The sequence below is a fragment of the Homo sapiens genome, chromosome 5 (genome assembly GCF_000001405.40).
Source record: "Homo sapiens chromosome 5, GRCh38.p14 Primary Assembly".
NCBI classification, from domain to species: Eukaryota; Metazoa; Chordata; class Mammalia; order Primates; family Hominidae; genus Homo; species Homo sapiens.
Window position 1 is genome coordinate 160,194,422 of NC_000005.10, and position 22,267 is coordinate 160,216,688.

Genomic DNA, 22,267 nt, shown 5'->3' on the forward strand with positions numbered 1-22,267 from the left:
CGAGAGTGAGCGAGGGCTGTGAGGACTGCCAGCACGCTGTTATCTCTCATTTGAGGCTGCAGTGAGCCATGATTGCACCATTGCACTCCAGCCTGGGCAATGGAGCAAGACCCGGTCTCAAAAAAATTAAATAAATAAAAAATAAAAATAAAAAGAGAGAGAGAGAAAGAAATCCCCTTTCTGAGCTGGGCCTCTCACCAGGGACACCCTCTGCGTAGAACACCCCTATCCACCGCACTCCAACTCTCCCAGGCTTTTTGTTCATTCTTTTGATTCCAGTGTCCACCTCCTTACCTCCAGGCCTTTCCTGACCCCTCATGTCCCACCTTGATGGCAGTCCCTTTAGATCCCCTGTCCTGATGCTGACCACTGCTCTGATGGCCGGTTTCCCTGCCTATACCTCCATATTCCCCACTCCCTGCCCACCCCATCAGTCTATTTGTTCCCGGAAAGCAGGGACCTTGACTAGCACCCAGTGCAGTGCTCAGTACATAGCAGGAGCTCAAGGAATATTTGTTGTCTGAATGAACAAATACACAGACAGAGTATTTCCTGGGAAGGCAGAATTTAATCTCCTTCCTGGCTGGGTGCAGTGGCTCATGCCTGTAATCCCAGAACTTTGGGAAGCCAAGGCAGGTGGATCACTTGAGGTCAAGAGTTTGAGACCAGCCTGGCCAACATGGTGAAACCCCGACTCTACTAAAAATACAAACATTAGCCGGGCATGGTGGCGGGTGCCTATAATCCCAGCTACTCAGGAGGCTGAGGCCGGAGAATTGCTTGAACCTGGAGGCAGAGGTTGCAGTTAGCTGAGATGGTGCCACTGCACTCCAGCCTGGGCAACAGAGCGAGACTCTGTCTCAAAAAAAAAAAAAAAAAAAAAAAAAAAAGACTCTCCTTTCTGAGGCCAGCACAAGGGGTTGAGAACAAGAGCCCTTCCACATGGTCACAGCCCGTTCTTAGTGTGTATTCACTGCTGGACTGGCCACTGCCTCATTCAGGGCTCTACTGCCAAGCCTCAAACTTTTTTTCTGTCTCTCTCTCTCTTTTTGAGACAGGGACACGTTCTGTGGCCTGGCTGAAGTGCAGTGGCACGATCACAGCTCACTGCAGCCACAGCTTCCCAGGCTTGAGAGATCCTCCCCATCTCAGCCTCCCAAGGAGCTGAGACTACAGTCATGCACCACCTTACCCAGATAATTTTTGGTAGAGACAGGGTTTTGCCTTGTTACTGGTCTGGAACTCCTAGGCTCAAGTCATCCACTTGCCTCGGCCTCCTAAAGTGCTGGGATCCCAGGTGTGAACCAGCCCACCTGGCTATTTTTTCCTTTATTATTATTTTTCTTAGGTCCATGAAGGTTCATATTGCAAGAAGTCCACAGGGTATAGAGCAACGTGGCTCCCTCTTTCTCTTCCCCAGAGGGAGCTGCTGCATGGTTTCCGTGTGCTGTCTTCCACTTTGCTGCATCTTCACTTCAGGGAGGCCTGCAGTCTGCAGCCCTCTTGGGACCCGAGGGCACCACTCCCTGTTGGAACAGAAGAGTCAGTTCTGGCATCAGCAGTATCACTCTGTAGCTGGGTCCAGGCAGAGGGGACATGGGCCAGGAGGATTTATTCCAGGCTGTAAGATGCCCAAGTGCAGGGCAGCTGGAGAAGCCCATGCCGAGAGAGCAGGCAGTGCCCACAGTCCTCCTTTACAGGGTGTCTACTGGATCTCATGTCAAAGCACCAAGATGCCAGGTGGCTTGATGATGCCTGGGGAGCCACCATGGCACTCAAGGGGAAAGGGTCTCACTCCACGGGGAGACCTGGAGAGGGACATCCCCTATCCAACCCCTTCTGCCAGGTCTAGCCCAAGCCTTCCCCAGGAGGGTTGAGAAGGCGGTGACAACCTCAACTACAGCTTCTCTGCCCAAACATGAATCCAGGTTTAGATAAAGATGAACAACAGGAGGCCCCAAAAAGGAAACCTGATGGGGCTCTGGGGAGAGAGGCTCTAGGGTTAGGGAAGGCTTTCCTGGGGGACTAGTGTATATACGAGCCTCAGGTCTTGTAAGGTTTTGGAACGAGGGTTGGCAGCTTCATTGTTGAGTCGCTGCTAAGTTGCAAGGGTGGGGAGTGTCAAGATATCTCCTAGTCCAATTCCATTTTCTTTTCTTTTTGTTTTTTGAGATGGAGTCTTGCTCTGTTACCCAGGCTGGAGTGCAGTGGCACGATCTCGGCTCACTGCCAGCTCTGCCTCCCGGGTTCACGCCATTCTCCTGCCTCAGCCTCCTGAGTAGCTGGGACAACAGGCACATGCCGCCACGCCCGGCTAATTGTTTTGTATTTTTAGTACAGACGGGGTTTCACCGTGTTAGCCAGGATGGTCTTGATCTCCTGACCTGGTGATCTGCCCACCTCGACCTCCCAAAGTGCTGGGATTACAGGCGTGAGCCACCGCGCCTGGCCTCCAATTCTATTTTCTATTCTCCATATTTTAGGACCAGGAAGGCAGATGCTGGCCACTCAGCCACTCTCATCCCGCTTTCCTACTCCAGACCTTATTAGGCTACCGTGACACCTTGTCTGCTAAGCAACACATGTCTGCAATGGGAGAAATCCCATTTGCCACCCTTCCCTAAAGGAGCTCTGCCTTACCTCAACAGGCCCCACGAAGAAGCCCATGGGAGTGGCCTCTCCTAGAGTTTTGCAGTGCACAACCTGTGCAGCCCTCCACAGGGGCCCTGCCCGGCTAGACAGATGGCTTTTGGAGGCTCCATAAGGTGGGAAGAGGGGTGGGCCCAGGGGGTTCATAACCTCCCACACTGCTTCACCCTAGGCAGTTCTACGCTCTCTGTCTTACACAGTGGACTTACATTGGACTTCTGAATAAGACTTCACTTGAGACAGCGTGTCCCATTGCTAATAACAATGACACAGGCTGTGACAACCCCTTCAGTAGAGAGAGACCAGTTAAACCACAGGCTTCACAGTCTTAATCCCAGCTCTGCCTCTTACTGCCTGCATGACCTTGGGTGAATAATACTATGTACCTCACAGTGTGGCTGAGAAGACCAATAGAGATAATGCAGGGACAGTGTGGCCAGTGTGGTGATAGTGGGACCACAAGGAAGAGGACAGTCCCTTCCAGCTCTGCCGGCAGAGCCTAGGGAGGGCTCTCAGCACTGTTGGCGCCGATCATTCTTTGTTATGGGGGCTGTCCTGTGCATCTCTGGTCTCTACCCACTCCATGCCAACCCTGCCCCCTCCTCAGTTATGACAACCAACAATGTTTCCAGATATTGCCAAATGTCCCAGGAAGACAAAGTGGCCTCCAGTTGAGAAGCGCGCGTCTGGAGAGAAATGCTGCAGGAAGCGAGAGGCAGTGGGAGCTGGAAGGAATGGGGAAGGCAGGGAAGTCAGCCTCCCCCTGCTCCGGAAACTCCTGTCAGCTCCTCTGCTCTGTCCCTGGAGACCGCTTGTCTCTGCTGGAGGCTTCCTCCTGATAAGGCTGCTTCGTGTGTGTGTGTGTGTGTGTGTGTGTGTGTGTATGTGTGTGTGTGTGTGTATGTGTGTGTGAGAGAGAGAGAAAGAGGAGCAGGAGGTGGGGGAAGGAGCTGGAGAGGGAAGGGAGAAGGAGAGAAGAAGGGGGAAGGGGGTAGGGAGAGGGATTGCAGAAGACAGAAGGAGAGAGCTAGAAGGCTAAAAATACCTCTGGCCCCCACGTCCCTAGTTTCTGCACAGACCCAAGATATAGCCCTGGGGACCTGGGGCTATATCTGGCTACATAGTCTGGAGTCCTTTGCCCCCTCCTCTTAGTTACCTGAGGGAGATGATTCAGGCCAGAAGGGGTGCAAAGCGGGAAGAGGAAGGCAGGAAGAGGAAGGCACCCAGTCTTTGCTCTCCCTGTCCCCCACAGACAATCCCCCAGCAGGTTTGCCTTCTGTGCCTCCAAAATCCACCAGGGTCAGGCTCCTCCCACTCGCCCCATCAGCCGCCACCTCTTTGTTTCTGGAGTTACCACCTCACTGGTCTCCCTGCTTCCACGTTCCTTCTTCCTATCATGTGTTCTCCAGGAAGCAGATGGAATGACATGAAAAATGTAAATTGGATCGTGCCATCCCCATGCCTAAAGCCCTGTAATGGTCCCCTCAGTCCTCAAAATCCAAGCCAGATGCCCGGCTACAGCCTTCAAGTGTGCACGGTCCCCAGGCCCCTCTTTCACTCACCACCAAACTCCCACCACACTGTCCTTCCTTCTATTCCTTGCCTGCACCATCCCCCTAGCTTTTTACCAACTGAGGCGTTATCTGAAATTCCTCTGCCTGCTTTTCTCAGCCCCATGTCCTAAGCATTAAGGTGTCCACAAAGATTCCTTTCTCAGACATGCCTTCCCTGCCCACCCCATCTGAAAACGACCTCTTCAAATACTGGCCCATCATCCTGTTGTTCTTTACAGCACTTTTGACTTTATCTTCTTAATTCCTGGAGGGCAGGGACCTCACGTGTTTCTTCTGTATCTCCAGGGCCCATGTGTCTGGCACACAGTGAGCAGTCAATAAAATGGATTGAATAGACAAATGAATGAACAATGAGATGGTCTCCAGAGCCCCTCCCAGCGTGCTGGCTTTTTGTGTCATTGCAGACTTTGCACCTCTGGCTCCAGGGAGCTCACAGGCAGGGGCTGGTCCAGCCCAGAGGCGATGAAGACAGTGACGATGATGATGGTGGTGGAGATGCAGGCGCTGACTCAGGTAGCTCCGTGAAGCTGGAAATAAGTCATTTGAGGCAAATGAAAGGATGACCCAGGTCACAGTGGGGAGAACACCTTGGGTGGGGGACTTGCTCGCCTTTCTCTGTGATGCTAATAACAGACTTGTCATGGCTCCAAAGCCCTTTTCCTCCTTTCAGCTGTCTCTCTGTGACTGTCTTTGTGACAGTCTCATTGTTGTTGTTACTAAGATGGCTTCCCTCAGAGGACGGACACTTGGAGTAGTGGCAGGTTCGGCCACCCCTAGAGACGATGGCGGTGGGGACCGGGGCAGCCCCCTGGCCCCCTGGGCTCACCCCCTCCTGCGCCACCCCGGGCCGTGCCGTGCCAAGCCGGCCACCAGAGGGCGCGCCAGGTCGCGGCATCCCGGCTCCCCGTCGGCCTGGGGCCGGCGGGCGGGGCTCGGCTGTCTCCTACTGAGGCCTCGCACTTCCTCTCTGTCTTGCCATTCCTGTCTCCCTCTCTCCCTACCTGGCATCTCCCCCTGCTATCTTCATCCCCTGCCCCCTCCTTCGTCTCCATTAGCAAACCCGCATGGTAGCCTATCTTGTGGTGAGCCCCAGTGTCCGGCGCGGGGAGGGACACAGACGCGTCCCAGTGGGATCTCCGCTCACTAGGGAGTTCACAGCCTAACCTGAACCCCCGCACCAGCCCAGAGCAATGAAGCCTCCTGAAAGGACTGCTGAGGAGAGACAGGCCGTCCTACAAGAAGTGGGGCAGGACATGGTCTTCCCCACGGAGGTGGCTCCACATCCCTCCCACCTACCCCAGCCAGGGGCCCTCTGACTGTGCCACTCACCGTGCAGGCGCACCACACAGGACGTCCTGTGATGGAAAAGGCTTAGGCAGAGTCTGGCTGCCTTATCTCACTAAGGGGTAAACTGAGGCTCCAGCAGTGAAACTAGTGTGAAGTCTGGGTTCAAATTCCATCTCTGCTGCTTAATAGCTGGACGACCTTAGACAGCCTTCCTAACCTCTCTGAGCTCAAGCTGCGGAAGTGGCAGCCTCTTAGGATTATGGGAGAACACACATGCAACATGCTTAGCACTGTGCCTGCAGTTAGTCATTATTCTTAAGAAAGTGGCCTACCCATGGCCACCTATTGAGCAGAGGTGGCAGACCTAGGCCCAGAATCCCCATCTGACCTCTGAACTCTCAGGCCCTAGTTCTTTCTGCCGTTGTGGGCAGAGGCTGCAGGGAACAGCAGAGGATGCAAACGCCCGTTGAGTCCTTTTTTTTCTATTTTTTTTTTTTTGAGGCGGAGTCTCCCTCTTGTTGCCCAGGCTGGAGTGCAATGGCACGATCTTGGCTCACTGCAACATCTGCCTCCTGGGTTCAAGAGATTCTCCTTCCTCAGCCTCCTGAGTAGTTGGGATTACAGGCGCCCACCATCATGCCTGGCTAATTTTTTGTATTTTTAGTAGAGACGGGGTTTCACCATGTTGGCCAGGCTGGTCTTGAACTCCTGACCTCAGGTGATCCACCCGCCTTGGCCTCCCAAAGTGCTGGGGTTACAGGCGTGAGCCACCGCACCCGGCAAGTCTTTAGTTTGAGGAGAGGTCTGTGTTACTGTCCCCAGCTGTCTCATCTGTGTTCTCCTGCCATGGGCATCTCTTGGGATGGCTCCACACTTCCTCCTGGCCTGGCCACACCTAATCCTTCAAACCTAGCCCTTGGGTGGGGAGAGGGGAAGGTGGCCTTAGCATTGCCAGGGAAGTATGAACTGGCACAATCTTCATGGAGGCTTCGTCAGTGTCTGGCAATCCTCTGACCCAGTTGTTCTACTTCAGGGGATTTAACCCTACAAGAGGGTCATATATATACACATATGAATGTATACATATTTGCGTGCATTTATACATATATCTCTGAAGGATACATAAGAAACTAGTAGTTTTGAGTTGGGTGCCATGGCTTACACCTGAAATCCCTACAGTTTGGTAAGCTGAGGCAGGAGGATCACTTGAGCCCAGAAGTTCCAGACCAGCCTTGGCAACATGGCAAAACTCCATCTCTAAAAAAAAAATACACAAATTAGCAGGGTGTGGAGGCATGTAATTGTAGTCCCAGCTACTTGGGAGGCTGGTGTGGGAGGATCACTTGTGTCCAGGAGGTCGAGGCTGCAGTGAGTCAAGATCGCGACACTGCACTCCAGCCTGGGCAACAAAGCGAGACCCTGTCTCAAATAAAACAAAAATCCCCAAAGAAACTAGTGGTTTCGTTTGCCTAGGGTGGGGGGGTAGGGTGGAAGGGGATGGGAGTGAGGTGAGGTGGGAGATTTTCCCCATAGCTCTTTTGTTATTCTTGGATATTAAGAGAAGTGAATGTATTACCTATTTAAAAATAATAATTTAAACGTTTTTTAAATAGGAATGGTAGCCAAATGCAATGCCATACAATTAAATAACAAAATAATAAGTAAAGTCAGAGTTGGGGGAGGAGCCAGGTGGGATTCCCTCTCCCCTTCTCATTTCTCACCCTTCTTCTTTCTTCCTCTTTCCCCTCCCCCTCCTCTCTTTCTTCAGGAAGCCACCTGTCCTGTTTTCTCCAGCCCACAGTGAGGTTTCTTTGAACTCATTCATTCATTCACTTATTTATTTATTTTTTGCGACAGGGTCTTACTCTATCACTCAGGCTGGAATGCAGTATATGATCATGGATTACTGCAGCCTCCACCTTCCAGGCTCAAGTGATCCTCCCACCTCAGCCTCCTGAGCAGCTGGGACTGCAGGTGCACACCACCACACCCAGCTAATTTTTGTATTTTTTTGTAGAGATGAGATTTCACCATGTTGCCCAAGCTGGTCTTGAACTCCTGGGCTCAGGCGATCTGCTCGCCTTCACCTCCCAAAGTGCTGGGATTACACGTGTGAGCCACCTCACCCAGCCATTCATTCACTGATTCATTCTTCATTTATTCTTTCACCAAATGTGCTCTTGGGTGGAAGCAGGGATTTAGGCAGACTCTACTTTCTGCTCTCTACAGGGGAGATGGATATTGAGACGACACAATCCTCAGTATTGTCATTATCATTCATCGAAGTGCCATGAAGGAGAAGTGGCATGGCAGCATAGAAAAGGGACCTGAACTAGCCTGGAGGGCCAGAAAGGCTTTTCTGAGAAAGTGACTCCTTTATTTCCACTTAACTCTTCAAAAACTTTTTTCTCTTATGAAGAAACTCAAATATATACAAACATACAATACCCCATGTACCCACAGCCCAGCTCCATACTGATCAACATGGCCAATCCTACCTTATTTTATCCCACCTACTCCCCCACTTCACCATGTCAAAAAGCAAAATGTCAACAAATTGAGTTTCAAAAATTTAACTGGCTTGGCCGGGCGTGGTGGCTCACGCCCGTAATCCCAGCACTTTGGGAGGACAAGGCAGGCAAATCACGAGGTCAGGAGATCGAGACCATTCTGGCTAACACGGTGAAACCCCGTCTCTACTAAAAATACAAAAAAAAGAAAAATTAGCCAGGCGTGGTGTCAGGCGCCTGTAGTCCCAGTGACTCGGGAGGCTGAGGCAGGAGAATGGCATGAACCTGGGAGGTAGAGCTTGCAGTGAGATTGCACCACTGCACTCCAGCCTGGGGAACAGAGCGAAACTCCATCTCAAAAAAAAAAAAAAAATTTTAACTGGCTTTTCTTAGCGATTCATGAATTGGGCAGAATCCCATATACAAAACAGAAAGGTGCTCCAATGGGGTAACCAGAGAAGCTGGGCTTTTTTTTTTGAGATGGAGTTTCACTCTTGTTGCCCAGACTAGAGTGCAATGGCTTGATCTCAGCTCACTGCAACCTCTGCCTCCCAGGTTCAAGCGATTCTCCTGCCTCAGCCTCCCAAGTAGCTGAGATTATAGGCATGCACCACCGTATCCGGCTAGTTTTTATATTATTAGTAGAGATGGGGTTTCACTGTGGTGGCCAGGCTGGTCTCGAACTCCTGACCTCAGGTGATCTGCCCACCTTGGCTTCTCAAAGTGCTGGGATTACAGGCTTGAGCCACCACGCCCTGCCAGAAGCTGGGCTTCATAGGCAGAAAAATGTTGAAGAAAGCAGAAACGGGGAACAAAAAGTGGATTGGTTATTTCAAAGTTACATTCCTTGTAGGGTTAAAGCAGAGGGGACCTCCTTATCATGCTGTCTCAGGTTGACTGGGGCATTTTAGCTAGCTGCTGTGAATATCCTATTTTTTGGAAAACTGGCCTATTTCTAAGTTCAGTTTGATTATATGGCCCCTCAGAATGAGTGACTCCAGTTTGGTTTGGCCTGATTTGTTAGGACCTAGTGCAGAAGTTCAGTCCAAAACAATGGCATCTCATAAATTTTATTTAACGATGCTCACCTCATTTTTTTTTCTTTGAGAAAAGGTCTTGCAATGTTGCCCAGACTGGTCTCAGACTCCTGGGATCAAGCAATCCTTCTGCCTTAGCCACCCAAGTAGCTGGGATTATGAGTGCAAACCACTGCATCCAACTCCACCCAATTATTTTGAACCAAATCTCAGATATTATATTTCTTTTTTTTTTTTTTTGAGATGGAGTTTTGCTCTTGTTGCTCAGGCTGGAGTGCAATGGCACAATCTTAGCTCACTGTAATCTCCGCCTTCCGGGTTCAAGCAATTCTCCAGCCTCAGCCTCTCAAGTAGCTGGGATTATAGGCACGCGCCAACATGCCTGGTTAATTTTGTATTTTTAGTAGAGTTGGGGTTTCACCATGTTGGTCAGGCTGATCTCGAACTCCTGACCTCAGGTGATCTGCCCACCTTGGCCTCCCAAAGTGCTAGAATTACAGGCTTGAGCCACCGCGCCCAGCCTCAGACACTATATTTCATCTGTAAATATTTCAGTATAAATTTCCAAAAAATAAGGACTTTTAGGCCAGGCAGAGGTTGCAGTGAGCCGAGACTGTGCCACCACACCCCAGCCTAGGCAATAGAGTGAGACTCCATCTCAAAAAAAAAAAAAAAAAAATACCCACAGGGTTCTTGCTGTGGAGCATGCACCTGTAGTCCTGTAGTCTTAGCTACTTGGGAGGCAGAAGCATTGCTTGAACCCAGGAGTTGGAGGCTGCAATGAGCTATAATCCTGCCATTGCACTCCAGCCTGGGCAATAGAGTGAGACTCCCCATCTCTAATAAAATAAAGATAAAAATAAAAATAAATAATACGTTTTTTTAAAAAAGCTCACTATGGAGATGGAGTGAAATTCCACGAAGGGCACACAATGAGTGATGCATGAACGTGCTCAGCCCATGTCTTTCCTCCCCAGCTCCCCCTCATCCCCTGCATCCTATTTTCTTTTCCTTTTTTAGGGGGGGTGGGGATGGAGTTTCTCTCTTGTCATCCGGGCTGGAGTGCAGTGGCGCAATCTTGGCTCACTGCAACCTCTGCATCCCGGGTTCAAGCAATTCTCCTGCCTCAGTCTCCCGAGTAGCTGGGATTACAGGCGCCCGCCACCAAGCCCGACTAATTTTTTGTATTTTTAGTAGAGACGGGGTTTCGCCATATTGGGCAGGCTGGTCTCGAACTCCTTACCTCAGGTGATCCACCCGCCTCGGCCTCCCAAAGTGCTGGGATTACAGGTGTAAGTCACTGCGCACGGCCGCATCCTATTTTCTTTACTGGGAAACACACTGCTGTGGAGAGGGAAAGAAGCCAAGTGCTCAGGGCCTATCCAAGGTAGGAAGCCTCACCCTGCTAGCAGCCTTGAGCTCAGGCTTCCTGCTTTCTGAGAAATACTGTCCCGAGGTCTCCAGCTCCATAGCTAGGGATGGTCTGGGGGTTGGAAAGAAAGGGGGCGTAACAGCTAAGGTTTTCCATTGGCTTTTTGGGGACCAGTGGTGCCTCAGATAGAGAAGCCCAAAACTGAAAGTTTCTCAGAGAATTATAAAAAATATATGTGGTAGTCTCGTCTCCCACTGCCAGTATTGTGGTTTTGGCAGAGTTATGATAAGGGCCGAGTCTTCCATCTGGCATGGGACCCAAGGCCTCCCAGTCAAAGACAAGATACCATTAATGATTAGATTGTCATCTTGGCCAGGATTTGCTCTCTCAGCAGGAAGCAGAGGTTGCAGTGAGCCGAGATCGCACCACTGCACTTTAGCCTGGGTGACAGAGCAAGACTTCATCTCAAAAAAAAAAAAAAAAAAAAAAGCAACTGAAATACCCCCACACATTACATATTTGCATGTTCATACATGTTCAAAGTCGTGTACACTTATAAACAGACATGCCTGCACAAGTGTGCACACTCCTTTATCACAGGTGCTGCTGGCTTCCCCCTTCCTGATGAACTCTGTCAGATGCCCATTTCTCCTAGCAACCTTGTTTTCTGAAAGGCTGACTCCAACCCTGCTCCAGGAGAGGGACCTTCATTAGTCTAAGCCAACCCTGGTGGTCTTAGTCCCTCTGATGGAGATTGGTTTACCTTTGGGCTATGTGACCACGTTCTAGCCAATGACATTTGGAAAGAAGTTGGCTTGGGGCTTCTGTGAAATTTTCCTTATTCTTAAGAAAGTCATCTCAGAAGTGAAGACTCATTTACCTGTCATTGGATTCTGTAATGTGAGAGTGTGGGGTATGGAAATGCTGCAGCCATTTCGTGACCTTGAGGATGCAGAATTAAGCAGAGTGGAGAAGTGGAAATGACCCAGGGCCTCTAATGCCGTTACTGATCCACACAATCAGTCAACTTGAGAGTCCTCCCTTCCCATCTCTGGAATTCTAGTCATGAGAGATATTAACTTGATTTATTGTTCAAGGTCTCTTTTCTTTTTTCTTTTCTTTTCTTTCTTTTCTTTTTCTTTCCTTGTAGCCTAAGGCAGCAAACCGATACCCTCCTTCCATAAACACATTATCTCACATATACATATCCATATATCTGTATATAAACAACTAGAGCCATATATAGAAAGTCACAGCTGAGCACATGTGCACGCTGTTTACATGTATGTATAATAAAAGCAGGCTGGGCGTGGTGGCTCATGCCTGTAATCCCAACTTTGGGAAGCCGAGGAGGGCAGATCATGAGGTCAGGAGTTTGAGACCAACCTGGCCAACATGGGGAAACCCCATCTCTACTAAAGATACAAAAAATTAGCGGGGCATGATGCGTGCCTGTAATTCCAGCTACTTGGGAGGCTGGGGCAAGAGAATCGCTTGAACCCGGGAGGCAGAGGCTGGAGTGAGCTGAGATCATGCCACTCCACTCCAGCCTGGGCGACAGAGCAAGACTCTGTCTCAAAAAAAACAAAAAAGCAAAAAAACCCACATAATATTCTACATGTATCCACAGTGATTCAAACTTAATATACACAGAGAAAAGTATACATCCTCCTAGGTACACAGATAGAAGGACACATATACATCATGTTTCATACATGCATGCAAATCTATGTATAGTACAACAGACATAAATGCACACGGGCAGTATGCATTTCTACACAGAGCCACACATACTGGTTACATCGATGGCAACATTATTTTTTCCTACCCACGTCTAAACAGCCACAAAGTGCATACCCACAGCTCTGAGGGCTGCTTGGCTATGAGCACCCAGGACTGAAGAAAGTTCAGGAAATAGTTAGGAGAGGGACTTACAGACCAGAACACCACTGAGGAGTGAGGAGGTCAAGTCCAGGGTGGCTTGGACATGCACGGCAGCACCTGGGTCATGGATGCTAGACACAGCACCAAGGCAAGCTGTGATTAGAGTGTTTCCACCTTCAAAGGCGAAAAAAACCTTACTCTCACCTACCCCAGGACCTTCGTCCATACAGAAGAAAAACCTACTTTGCCCTTCAAACAGCTCTTTTTGTTTTCCTCATAGGCAAATAATTGAGTTAGACGTTGCATGAAAGTCAATTTTTTTCCCATTTATGCCACTGGGCATTCTAGGTAGAAGGAAAAGTGCAAAGGCAAAGAAATGCAAAATAGCACAGTGAGTTTAGGGGATTCCAGTGGAAATGAGTTTGCAGCAGAAACTGAGGATATGACAGAAGATGAGGTAGGGAAATGGGCAAGGGCCACGAACCTAGATTTACCTCTAAACTCCCATGGCCCAATCCATTCATCCGACTCCCAGGGTCACATGACTTTGCTCCCAGGCCTGCATCTTCCATCCATCAGCTTTTTCATGCCAAACACCCAAATTAAATGGATAACCAAGACATTTTAGGAGACAAGGTAGCAATAGTCAGATTTTCTTTCTGGCTTTTGTATGGGGTTATTTAGGTTTTCTGCTCTAAATTACCCTTCTTTTGTTTCTTTTTTATAACAGAGAGGAGTTACCAAGGACATTCTTGCTAAATTAGTTTGTATTTATTATTCAACAGTGTAAATCATCTTTCAAAAATGTCATGTTTCCAAGTTTAATAAAAAGTATTTCCAAAACAGTACATATGGTATGTTCCCATTTTGGATAAAATGTTTGTATGTATATTTATATGTGTATATAATAAGGTCTGGAAGTAAATACACACCAACTGTTAAGCAATAGTTACATATGAGAGACGGGACTGTAGGTCATCTTTACCTCCTTTTTTTTTTTTTTTTTGAGATGAAGTCTCGCTTTTGTCCCCCAGGCTGGAGTGCGATGGCATGATCTCGGCTCACTGCAACCTCCGCCTCCCGGGTTCAAGCGCTTCTCCTGCCTCAGCCTCCCCAGTAGCTGGGATTACAGGTGCCTGCCACCACGCCCAGCTAATTTTTGTATTTTTAGTAGAGACGGAGTTTCACCATGTTGGCCAGGCTGGTCTCAAAATCCTGACCTCAGGTGATCTGCCCGCCTTGGCCTCTCAAAGTGCTGGGATTACAGGAGTGAGCTACCGTGCCTGGCCATCTTTATCTTCTTTAGACTTTTCTGCATTTTTTCTCAATTTTATGTAAAAAATTTCTGAATTTTATGCATTTTTCTGAATTTTATGTTACTTTTATCATCAGAAGAAAATGATTTTAAATTATTTTTAAAGTTTAAGGCTGGGCTCAATGGCTCATGCCTGTAATCTGAGCACTTTGAAAGGATGAGGCAAGAGGACTGCTTGAAGCCAGGAGTTTAAGGCCATCATGGGCAATATAACTAGATCGTTTGTCTAAAAAAAAAAATTAGTCAGGTGAGGTGGTGCATGCCTTTCATCCTAGCTACTTGGGAGGCTGAGGTGGGAGGATCGCTTGAGCCCAGGAGTTTGAGGCTGTTGTGAGCTAAAATCATGCCACTGCATTCCAGCCTGGGTGACAGAACAAGATGCTGTCTCTTAAAAAAAAAGAAAAAAGTTGAATCTACATTGCAATAGTTTGAATGTTTGTCCCCTTCAATCTCATGTTGAAGCTTACTACCCCATGTAACTATAGCAAGAGGTGATAGGATCATGAAGACTCTGCCCTCATTAATGAATTAATCCACTAATAAATTAAAGGATTAATGGGTTATCATAAGAGTGGATTAGTTATCATGAGAGTGGGAGCCAGGCACTGTGGCTTATGCCTATAATCTCAGAACTTTGGGAGGCCAAAGCAGGAGCATTGCTTGAGGCCAGGCATGCAAGACAAACCTGGCCAACATAGGGAGACCCCATTTCTTTTTTTCTTTCTTTCTTTTCTTTTTTTTTTTTTGTAGGGAGTCTCACTCTGTTGCCCAGGCTGGAGTGCAGTGGTGTGATCTCGGCTCACTGCAACCTCTGCCTCCCGGATTCAAGCAATTCTCCTGCCTCAGCCTCCCAAGTTGGTGGGATTTCAGGTGCCTGCCACTACACCCAACTAATTTTTTGTATTTTTGGTAGGGACGGGGTTTCACCATGTTGGCCAGGCTGGTCTCAAACTCCTGACCTTGTGATTTGCCTGCCTCGGCCTCCCAGAGTACTGCGATTACAGGCGTGAGCCACTGCACCCAGCAGGGAGACCCCATTTCTAAAAAAAAAAGAATTAGTCAAGTGTGGTGGCTCACACCTGTTGTCCCAGCTACTCCAGAGGCTGAGGCTGCAGTGAGCCATCTTTGCATCACTGCACTCTGATCTGGGCAACAGAGCAAGACCCTTTCTCAGAAATAAATAAAGGTCTGGTGTGGTGGCTCATGCCTATAATCCCAGAACCTTGGGAGGCCAAGGCAGGCAAATCACTTGAGCCCAGGAGTTTGAGACCAGCCTGGGCAACATGGTGAAATCTCTCTCCACAAAAAAATAAAAAAACAAAAATTAGTCGGGTGTGGTGGCCCACACCTGTATTCCTAGCTACTTGGGGGACTGAGGCAGGAGGATTATTTGAGCCTGGGAGGTTGAGGGTTCAGTGAACAGTGATTGCCCCATGCACTCCAGCCTGGGTGACAAAGTGAGACCCTGTCTCAAAAAATTAAAATAAATAAATAAAGCCAGTTTGGCTCTCAGTGAGCTCCCCTTGCCATGTGATGCTCTGTACCGTCTTGGTATTCTACAGAGAGTCCCCACCAGCAAGAAGCCTCTCACCAGTTGTGCCCCCTAGACCTTGGACTTCCCAGTCTCCAAAACTGCAATAAATCATCGTCTTTTTTGTCTTTTTTTCCTTTTCTTTTATTTTTAGAGACGGGGGTCTCACTATGTTGCCTAGGCTGGTCTTAAACTCCTGGCCGGAAGTGATTCCCCAGCCTTGGCCTCTCAAAGTGCTGGGAGTACAGGCATGAGCCACTGCGTCCAGCCCTTTTCTATGTCTATATATACAGTCTCAGGTATTCAGCTGTAGCAACAGAAAGCAACCTAAGACATACATTTTAATCAAAAGTATAATAAGAAAATTTCAGGAAGAAGTGGGAAAAGGAGACATACAATCAACCTGTGCACAGTAGAATCCTCCTGGTGTCTTCAGGAGACCCGACGTGATCTGACCAGGGGAGTCTTGCAGCTCCATTCTCTGTACCAAGGCAAGTCAAACAGGTAAAGCAGATCACAGAAAGGGCTCTGACCTCAAGAAACATGTGATCTAGGTGGAAGCATGAGTCACATATGCATGAAAAACACAGCAGGCAATGAATGACAGGTAAGCTGGAAAGAGAATTCACCTGGTTACCAGGAGATATGGGCTCTGTTCCTAGTTCTGGCACCCAGTGATGACCTTGGGAGCCCAGTGGCTTCACCTCTGTGAACTTTAATCTCCTTATCTGTCAAAGGGTTTTAATGACAATAATTGAGAAGCTGTGATCATCAGATGAGATAACCTATCAGTGACTGCTCTCTGAACTGTGGTACAAGTTACCTTTCAACCTGGAACAGCACCTCAAACATGAAGGAATCTATCCCTATGGTGGAAATTCAGGCCCAAGCAGTGGGCAAGTGGGGTAGATCATGTGGGGACAAGGCCACCTTTGGTTGGCCCTTAAAAATACCAGAACACAGGGGCAGCCTGCACAGCTCTAACACTGCAGAACAGAAGTCAAGGTGGGCATTCTTGCCTCAGCTCGAAGACCTGCACAGCCTGCTCACCTTTGTAGAGCAGTGCACCCCAGGGAGAAAACACAGGAGCAGCCACGTCTCAGCCTTCTCAGAATGTCCAATCCTTTTCATAATTTAACCGCTTGCTCTGCATAATTACTTTTCTCCTGCTTATGAGCTTAGAGCAATAGTAGTTCCCAATAACTAGAGATTTAATAAGGCTAAATTACAACGAGTGTCCTGCAGAATTACACACCGCATTAACACCAAATGAGTTCATTAGAAATTCATTAGGAATGATTTCTGCGGCTGCCACAGGAATTAATCACGGTTTGCCAGTGGCAGGAGAGGGGGCAATGAATGATTGCATGGGAGCGGGACGACCTTTTGCCATCTGACTTTCTTCTGAAGCAATATCTTTCAAGGGTCATGGGCTGCTTTGGTAGGGAGATTGCTTGGACGTTGTTAGACATGCCTCTCAATCTTCTTCCTTCTTCCCAGCCACTGCCCTAGATCAAACCTGTAGATGTTGGAGTCGGACCCTTTTTCTGTCCTGGGGAGCTGAGAAGTCATCATGGGCACTTATGTTCTTGCCTGCCCAGTATCCTTTCCCCCTTCTTCTGTCAGTGTACTTCTGTGTTTCTTGGAGAGCTGCTCCTTGAAGATACTGCTGCATGTGGGTCTCTGTGGGACTGTCAGTTAAGAGCCTCCACTGGCCTCACCCACCCCCAGAGGGAATACATGTCCTCGGCTGAGCCCATTGGGCTTTCTCTCCTGGTATTTTTTAGTAGCTGATATTTATGAAGTGCTTGCTAGGTGCTGGCCCCCTTTCTAAGGATCTTCATGTACTGAGCATCCAACCCTCCCATTGCCAGTTAAGGAAGTGGGCTTTATTTTTAGCTCTATTCTGTCAACGAGGACACCCCAGTACAGAGGTTAAGTGACTTGTCCAAGTGACAGAGCCTGTAACTGTCCAAGCTGGGACTTTGAGTCATGAGTGCAGTACTATAAGGATGAAGGATTGTTGAAGGTAATCAATGGGTTGGCAGTGCCCCAGGGACTGTCCCTTCCTTCTTGCTTCCTGGTGCTATGTGCTATCTGGAGGCCTGGTGGTGGAGCTTTTTCATCCTTTCTATGAGTTACTCCATACGTTTCCAAAAATTTTATTTTTTGGTTTGTCACCAAGAGTCCGTGTCTGCTACTTAGATCTGTAAGAGCTTTGGCTGATGCCTGAGCCGACCAACAAGTATGTAAAGGCCCAGGTATAGACACTGCACAGTTATAGGCCCTGCCCTGCACAGGCCAAACAGAAACATAAGGCAGGCTTCCTGCCTTCCAGCTGCTTATATCTCAGATAGAAAAACAACAACAACAATTTCATCCTGTGCCTTCCTATGCAAGTTCTTTTTTTTTTTTTTTTTTTTTGAGATGCAGTCTCCCTCTTATCGCCCAGGCTGTAGTGCAATGGTGTGATCTCAGCTCACTGTAACCTCCGCCTCCTGGGTTCAAGCTATTCTCCTGCCTCAGCTTCCTGAGTAGCTGGGATTACAGGCGCCTGCCACCACACAACTGGCTAATTTCTTTTTCTTTTTTGAGATGGAGTCTCTCTCTGTTGCCCAGGCTGGAGTGCAGTGTCACAATCTCGGCTCACTGCAACCTCTGGCTCCTGGGTTCAAGCGATTCTCCTGCCTCAGCCTCCCAAGTAGCTGGGACTACAGGCACCCGCCACCATGCCCAGCTAATTTTTTGTATTTTTACTAGAGACAGGGTTTTACCATGTTAGCCAGGTTGGTCTCCATCTCCTGACCTCATGACCTGCCCATCTCAGCCTCCCAAAGTGCTGGGATTTCAGGCATGAGCTTCTGCGTCTGGCCCTACAACTGGCTAATTTTTATTTTTATTTTTTGGAGACGGAGTCTCACTCTGTCAACCAGGTTAGACTGCAGTGGCACGATCTCCGCTCACTGCAAGCTCCGCCTCCCAGGTTCACGCCATTCTCCTGCCTCAGCCTCCTGAGTAGATGGGACTACAGGCACCCACCACCACGCCTGGCTAATTTTTTTGTATTTTTAGTAGAGACAGGGTTTCACCGTGTTAGCCAGGCTGGTCTCGATCTCCTGACCTTGTGAGCCGCCTGCCTCAGCCTCCCAAAGTGTTGGGATTACAGGTGTGAGCCACCGTGCCCGGCCACAACTGGCTAATTTTAAAAATATTTTTGGTAGAGACAGGGTTTCAGCATGTTGGCCAGGCTGGTTTTGAACTGCTGACCTCAAGTGATCTGCCCGCCTCGGCCTCCCAAAGTGCTAGGATTACAGGTGTGAGCCACTACGTCCAGCCCTCCTATGCAAGTTCTAAGTGGAAAAGAGCCAGGATGGGATGGATTGGGAGGAGGAAAGATTTCATAGAAGGCACATGAGCTGGGTAGAATCTTTGGGGAGAGGTAACTGTCACGGACACTCTTTGGGCACCTATCCAGCCCACAGTCCCTTCTTCAAGAACTGTCCACCCAGAGCAGTTGGCCCTCACGGTCGAGATGGTTGGTACCACATGACGCTTTTGGTGGGATCAAGCATCTGTACCCTTTTCTATGTTTAGAGAACTTTCCACTACATGGGGCCCAACGAAAGGTGGGCCCACCTTCTAGTACAAAGCTGAAAAGGCCAGTACTCATGTCCCGTTTGTCCCATCGCCCGATGGCAATGAGGGTGCATGGACATGAGGTGGGCTCAGCCTCTGCAGCTCATGATACAAATAAGCAGGGACAAGAGAATCCATTCTGGTGGTGGTGGCCATATTCTATGCCCAGGGAAATGGTGGCTGCAGGGTCCGCATGCAGTGCTACCCTTGATAGGGGTGCAAATTGCCCAGTCCAGCCTTTGGCAGCAGAATCCTTACAAAATCATTTCTGTGATGTGATTGTGGCTGTGGTTCTAGCTGTTTGTCCTGTCCTGTCTCTGTCTGTTTTCCAAGCCTGAAAAGTCTGTGATCCAGTCGATATCCTTTTGATAAATTTCTTTTTTGCTCAAATCAGTTTCCATTGCTTGCAATTAAGAGCGCTGCTATGAGGAGCTCTGCCTCCCTGCACAGAGCTGATTGGACCAGAGATGCCCACTTGACTCAGGATAGGCCAATCAGATTATTTCTCTTCTGACTCAGGTTCTGAGAGCTGTGTTGTCTGCGTGCACATGGGTGAGCCGGAAAGGAGACCTGCAGAGAATGAAACAGACACATAAAGGAAAGGTATGGGGTAGAAGAAGGGAGGGAAGGGTTCCTGACGTTTTTCAGATTCTGGTTCTAGTTCCTCATGAACCTAGACTTTGTGTCCTATCCCTGGGCTCCTTGAGATCCTTCTGCATTGTTAGAATATTAGGTTGCACCATCTGAAATTGTTGTTTTTATAGGTCAAAAAGGTCAAATATCAGCAGTTATACATGCTGATGGTTCAACTTTATAAATCACCTTTTTTATTTTTTAACCTAAGCTAGCTCAAGTAGGTTTTGCCTGCCTTTCTCTTTCTTTCTTTCTTTCTTTCTTTCTTTCTTTCTTTCTTTCTTTCTTTCTTTCTTTCTTTCTTTCTTTCCTTCTTCTCTCTTATAATTTTTATTACAGGGTCTCATTCTGTCACCCAGGCTGAAGTGCAGTGATGTAATCATAACTCATAGCAGCCTTGAACTCCTAGGCTCAAGTGATCCTCCAGCCTCAGCCTCCCTATTAGCTGGGATTACAGGCACGTGCCACCATGCCTGGTTAATTTTTTAAATTTTTTGTAGAGACACAGTCTTGCTATGTTGCTCAGGCTGGTCTTGCACTCTTGGCCTCAAGCAGTCCTCTCACCTCAGCCTCCCAAAGTGCTGGGATTACAGATGTATGTCACCACACCTGGCCTCAAGTGGATTTCGTTTTCTTTTTAATTTTGTAGAGACGGGGTCTCCCTGTGTTGCCCATGCTGGTCTCGAACTTCTGGACTCAAGTGATCCTCCTGTCTCAGCCACCCAATGTGGCTGGCATGAGCCACCATGCCTGGCCTCAAGTGGATTTCTTGACTTGTGACTCAAAGGACCTTGTCTACAACAGTCAGAAATTTCATCAACTGGCCAGGTGCAGTGTCTTATGTCTGTAATCCCAACTCTTTGGGAGGCTGAGGCAGGAGGATCACTTGAGCCCAGGAGTTCACGACCAGCATGGGCAACATAGGGAGACCCTGTCTCTATAAAAAGAAAGAAAGAAAGAAAGAAATCCCATCAACTCAACTCAAAAGTGGGTTGTGGAACAGGCAGAGACACAAAACAGAAGCAGAAAATAAAGGTTTTCCCTGTCTGGCAGATACTGTTCCTAGTGAGGTGGCTGCCCTGCAGAACTTCCCAGCTTGTCCCTGGTCACCATCTCAGAGGTCACTATCCTCCACTAGTTTATGACCCATGGCCATCCAGTGGAACTTCAGCTGTATTCCAGTTGCCTCAAATAACACTGTTCATGTTAACACATAGTTTTGAATAATGCTATTGTTTTTGTTTTCCCCATGTTGTGGTGTTTCCTATTGATGTATACAATTTTATTTTCCTAACCTCACTGTCCAACAAAAGGAGAATGGCTGAGTAAGTTGTGATATGTCTGTACAATGGATTACAATATGGCCATTAAAAGTGATGGTGGGCTAGGCGCAGTGGCTCACACCTGTAATCCCGGCACTTTGGGAGGACAAGGTGGGCGGATCACCTGAGGTCAGGAGTTCGAGACCAGCCTGACCAACATGGTGAAACCCCGTCTTTACTAAAAATACAAAATTAGCCGGGTGTGTTGGCAGGTGCCTGTAATCCCAGCTACTAGGGAGGCTGAGGCAGGAGAATCACTTGAACCCTTGAGGCAGAGGTTGCAGTGAGCCGAGATCATGCCACTGCACTCCAGCCTGGGTAAAAAGAGTGAAACTCTGTCTCAGAGAAAAAAAAAAAAAAGGTGACGGTGGCCAGGCATGGTGGCTCACACTTGTAATCCCAAAACTTTGGGAGACTGAGGCAGAAGGATTGCCTGAGCCCAGGAGGTTGAGGTGGCAATGAGCCATGATTTTGCCACTGTACTCCAGTTTGGGTGACAGAGCAAGACCTTGTCAAAAAAAAAAAAAGAAAAAAAGAAGTAAAGGCATGAGGAATTAGAACTGGGGAAGTGGAGGTGGTGGGAATTTTGTAAGAGACTTGATAAGAAGGTAAAGGTTATTTCAAACCAGCTGCTGTTGTGAGGAATGGGGTGGGATTCATCCAACAAGGAGAGGAAAGAACCAGTGAGTATCCCAAAGCCCTGCTGAGGGAGGGTCATGAACTTGAGGTGGTGTTACCCTCCTCCCCAGTTGCGCCACTTCTTCTGGCTGCAGGTGTAAGTCCTGCAGATGGGAGGTAGAAGGACAAATGCTTTCTTGTGTGTAAGGATGGGGCCTGGGAAGCCAATGTGGCGGAAGGACATTGAGGGTCCTGGCAGAGTAGGGATACATCCATGGGCTGGATAGGAAAGCAGATGAGGCTGAGTAGGGGATGAACTGGGGAAAATTGATGAGCTGCGAAGCTGGAAGCTTCATTCAATGGGGTGAGACAATTTTGTCTTCTGCTGTGTATCTCCATCCCCTAACACATAGCCTTGTGCTAGTAAGTACTTATTGAGTGAATGAAATGATGAATATATGACTTACAGTTCTCATTGTAATTTTTTTTTTTTTTTGAGACCAAGTCTCACTCTGTCACCCAGGCTGGAGTGCAGTGACACAATCTCAGCTCACTGCAACCTTTGCCTCCTGGGCTCAAGTAATTCTCCTGCCTCAGCCTCCTGAGTAGCTGGGATTACAGGCACGTGCCACCATGCCTGGCTAATTTTTGTATTTTTAGTAGAGATGGGGTTTCACCATGTTGGCCAGGTTGGTCTCGAACTCCTGACCTCGGATGATCCACCCACCTCAGCCTCCCAAAATGCTGGGATTACAGGCATGAGCCACCGTGCCTGCCTGGCCCTCATTGTAACTTAACAGACTGGCATTCCACTGCTGGATCAGACAGCCAGCAGGATGCATGGTGGTAGCAAGCACCACTTAGTTCAGAAAAAACTGAATTCCTATCCAAACTTAATC

General features: G+C 48.4%; 1 protein-coding gene and 1 long non-coding RNA gene across 4 annotated transcripts in view, besides 1 other annotated feature; one reads left to right on the plus strand and one right to left on the minus strand.

The window, feature by feature from the left end:
• The window catches only part of FABP6 (fatty acid binding protein 6), a 51,342-nt gene that overhangs the window by 7,041 nt on the left and 22,034 nt on the right, over positions 1-22,267 (plus strand). The window contains exons 2-3 of one of the 2 annotated variants that reach the window (NM_001130958.2): positions 4,628-4,736; positions 19,315-19,398. In NM_001130958.2, coding sequence (NP_001124430.1) covers positions 4,686-4,736; positions 19,315-19,398 — 135 coding nt within the window. In that variant the 5' untranslated portion in view covers positions 4,628-4,685. Of the gene's footprint in view, positions 1-4,619; positions 4,737-19,314; positions 19,399-22,267 lie in introns of those variants that run through there. The other variant, NM_001040442.1, reaches the window with a different exon arrangement.
• Positions 1,275-15,649, minus strand: FABP6-AS1 (FABP6 antisense RNA 1). 2 transcript variants are annotated; one of them, XR_002956232.2, is made up of 4 exons: positions 15,556-15,649; positions 10,301-10,401; positions 4,402-4,750; positions 1,275-1,526 (listed from the first exon to the last, which is right to left on the minus strand). It is a non-coding gene; the product is annotated as an FABP6 antisense RNA 1 (long non-coding RNA). The 2 variants fall into 2 exon arrangements; XR_941148.3 differs by having other exon boundaries at positions 3,806-4,750.
• Positions 4,865-5,224: a silencer, noted in NCBI's record as "silent region_16580". NCBI's record gives its function as "represses an Ori minimal core promoter by ATAC-STARR-seq in GM12878 lymphoblastoid cells {active_cell/tissue: GM12878}" and the evidence as "EXISTENCE:reporter gene assay evidence [ECO:0000049][PMID:35858748]".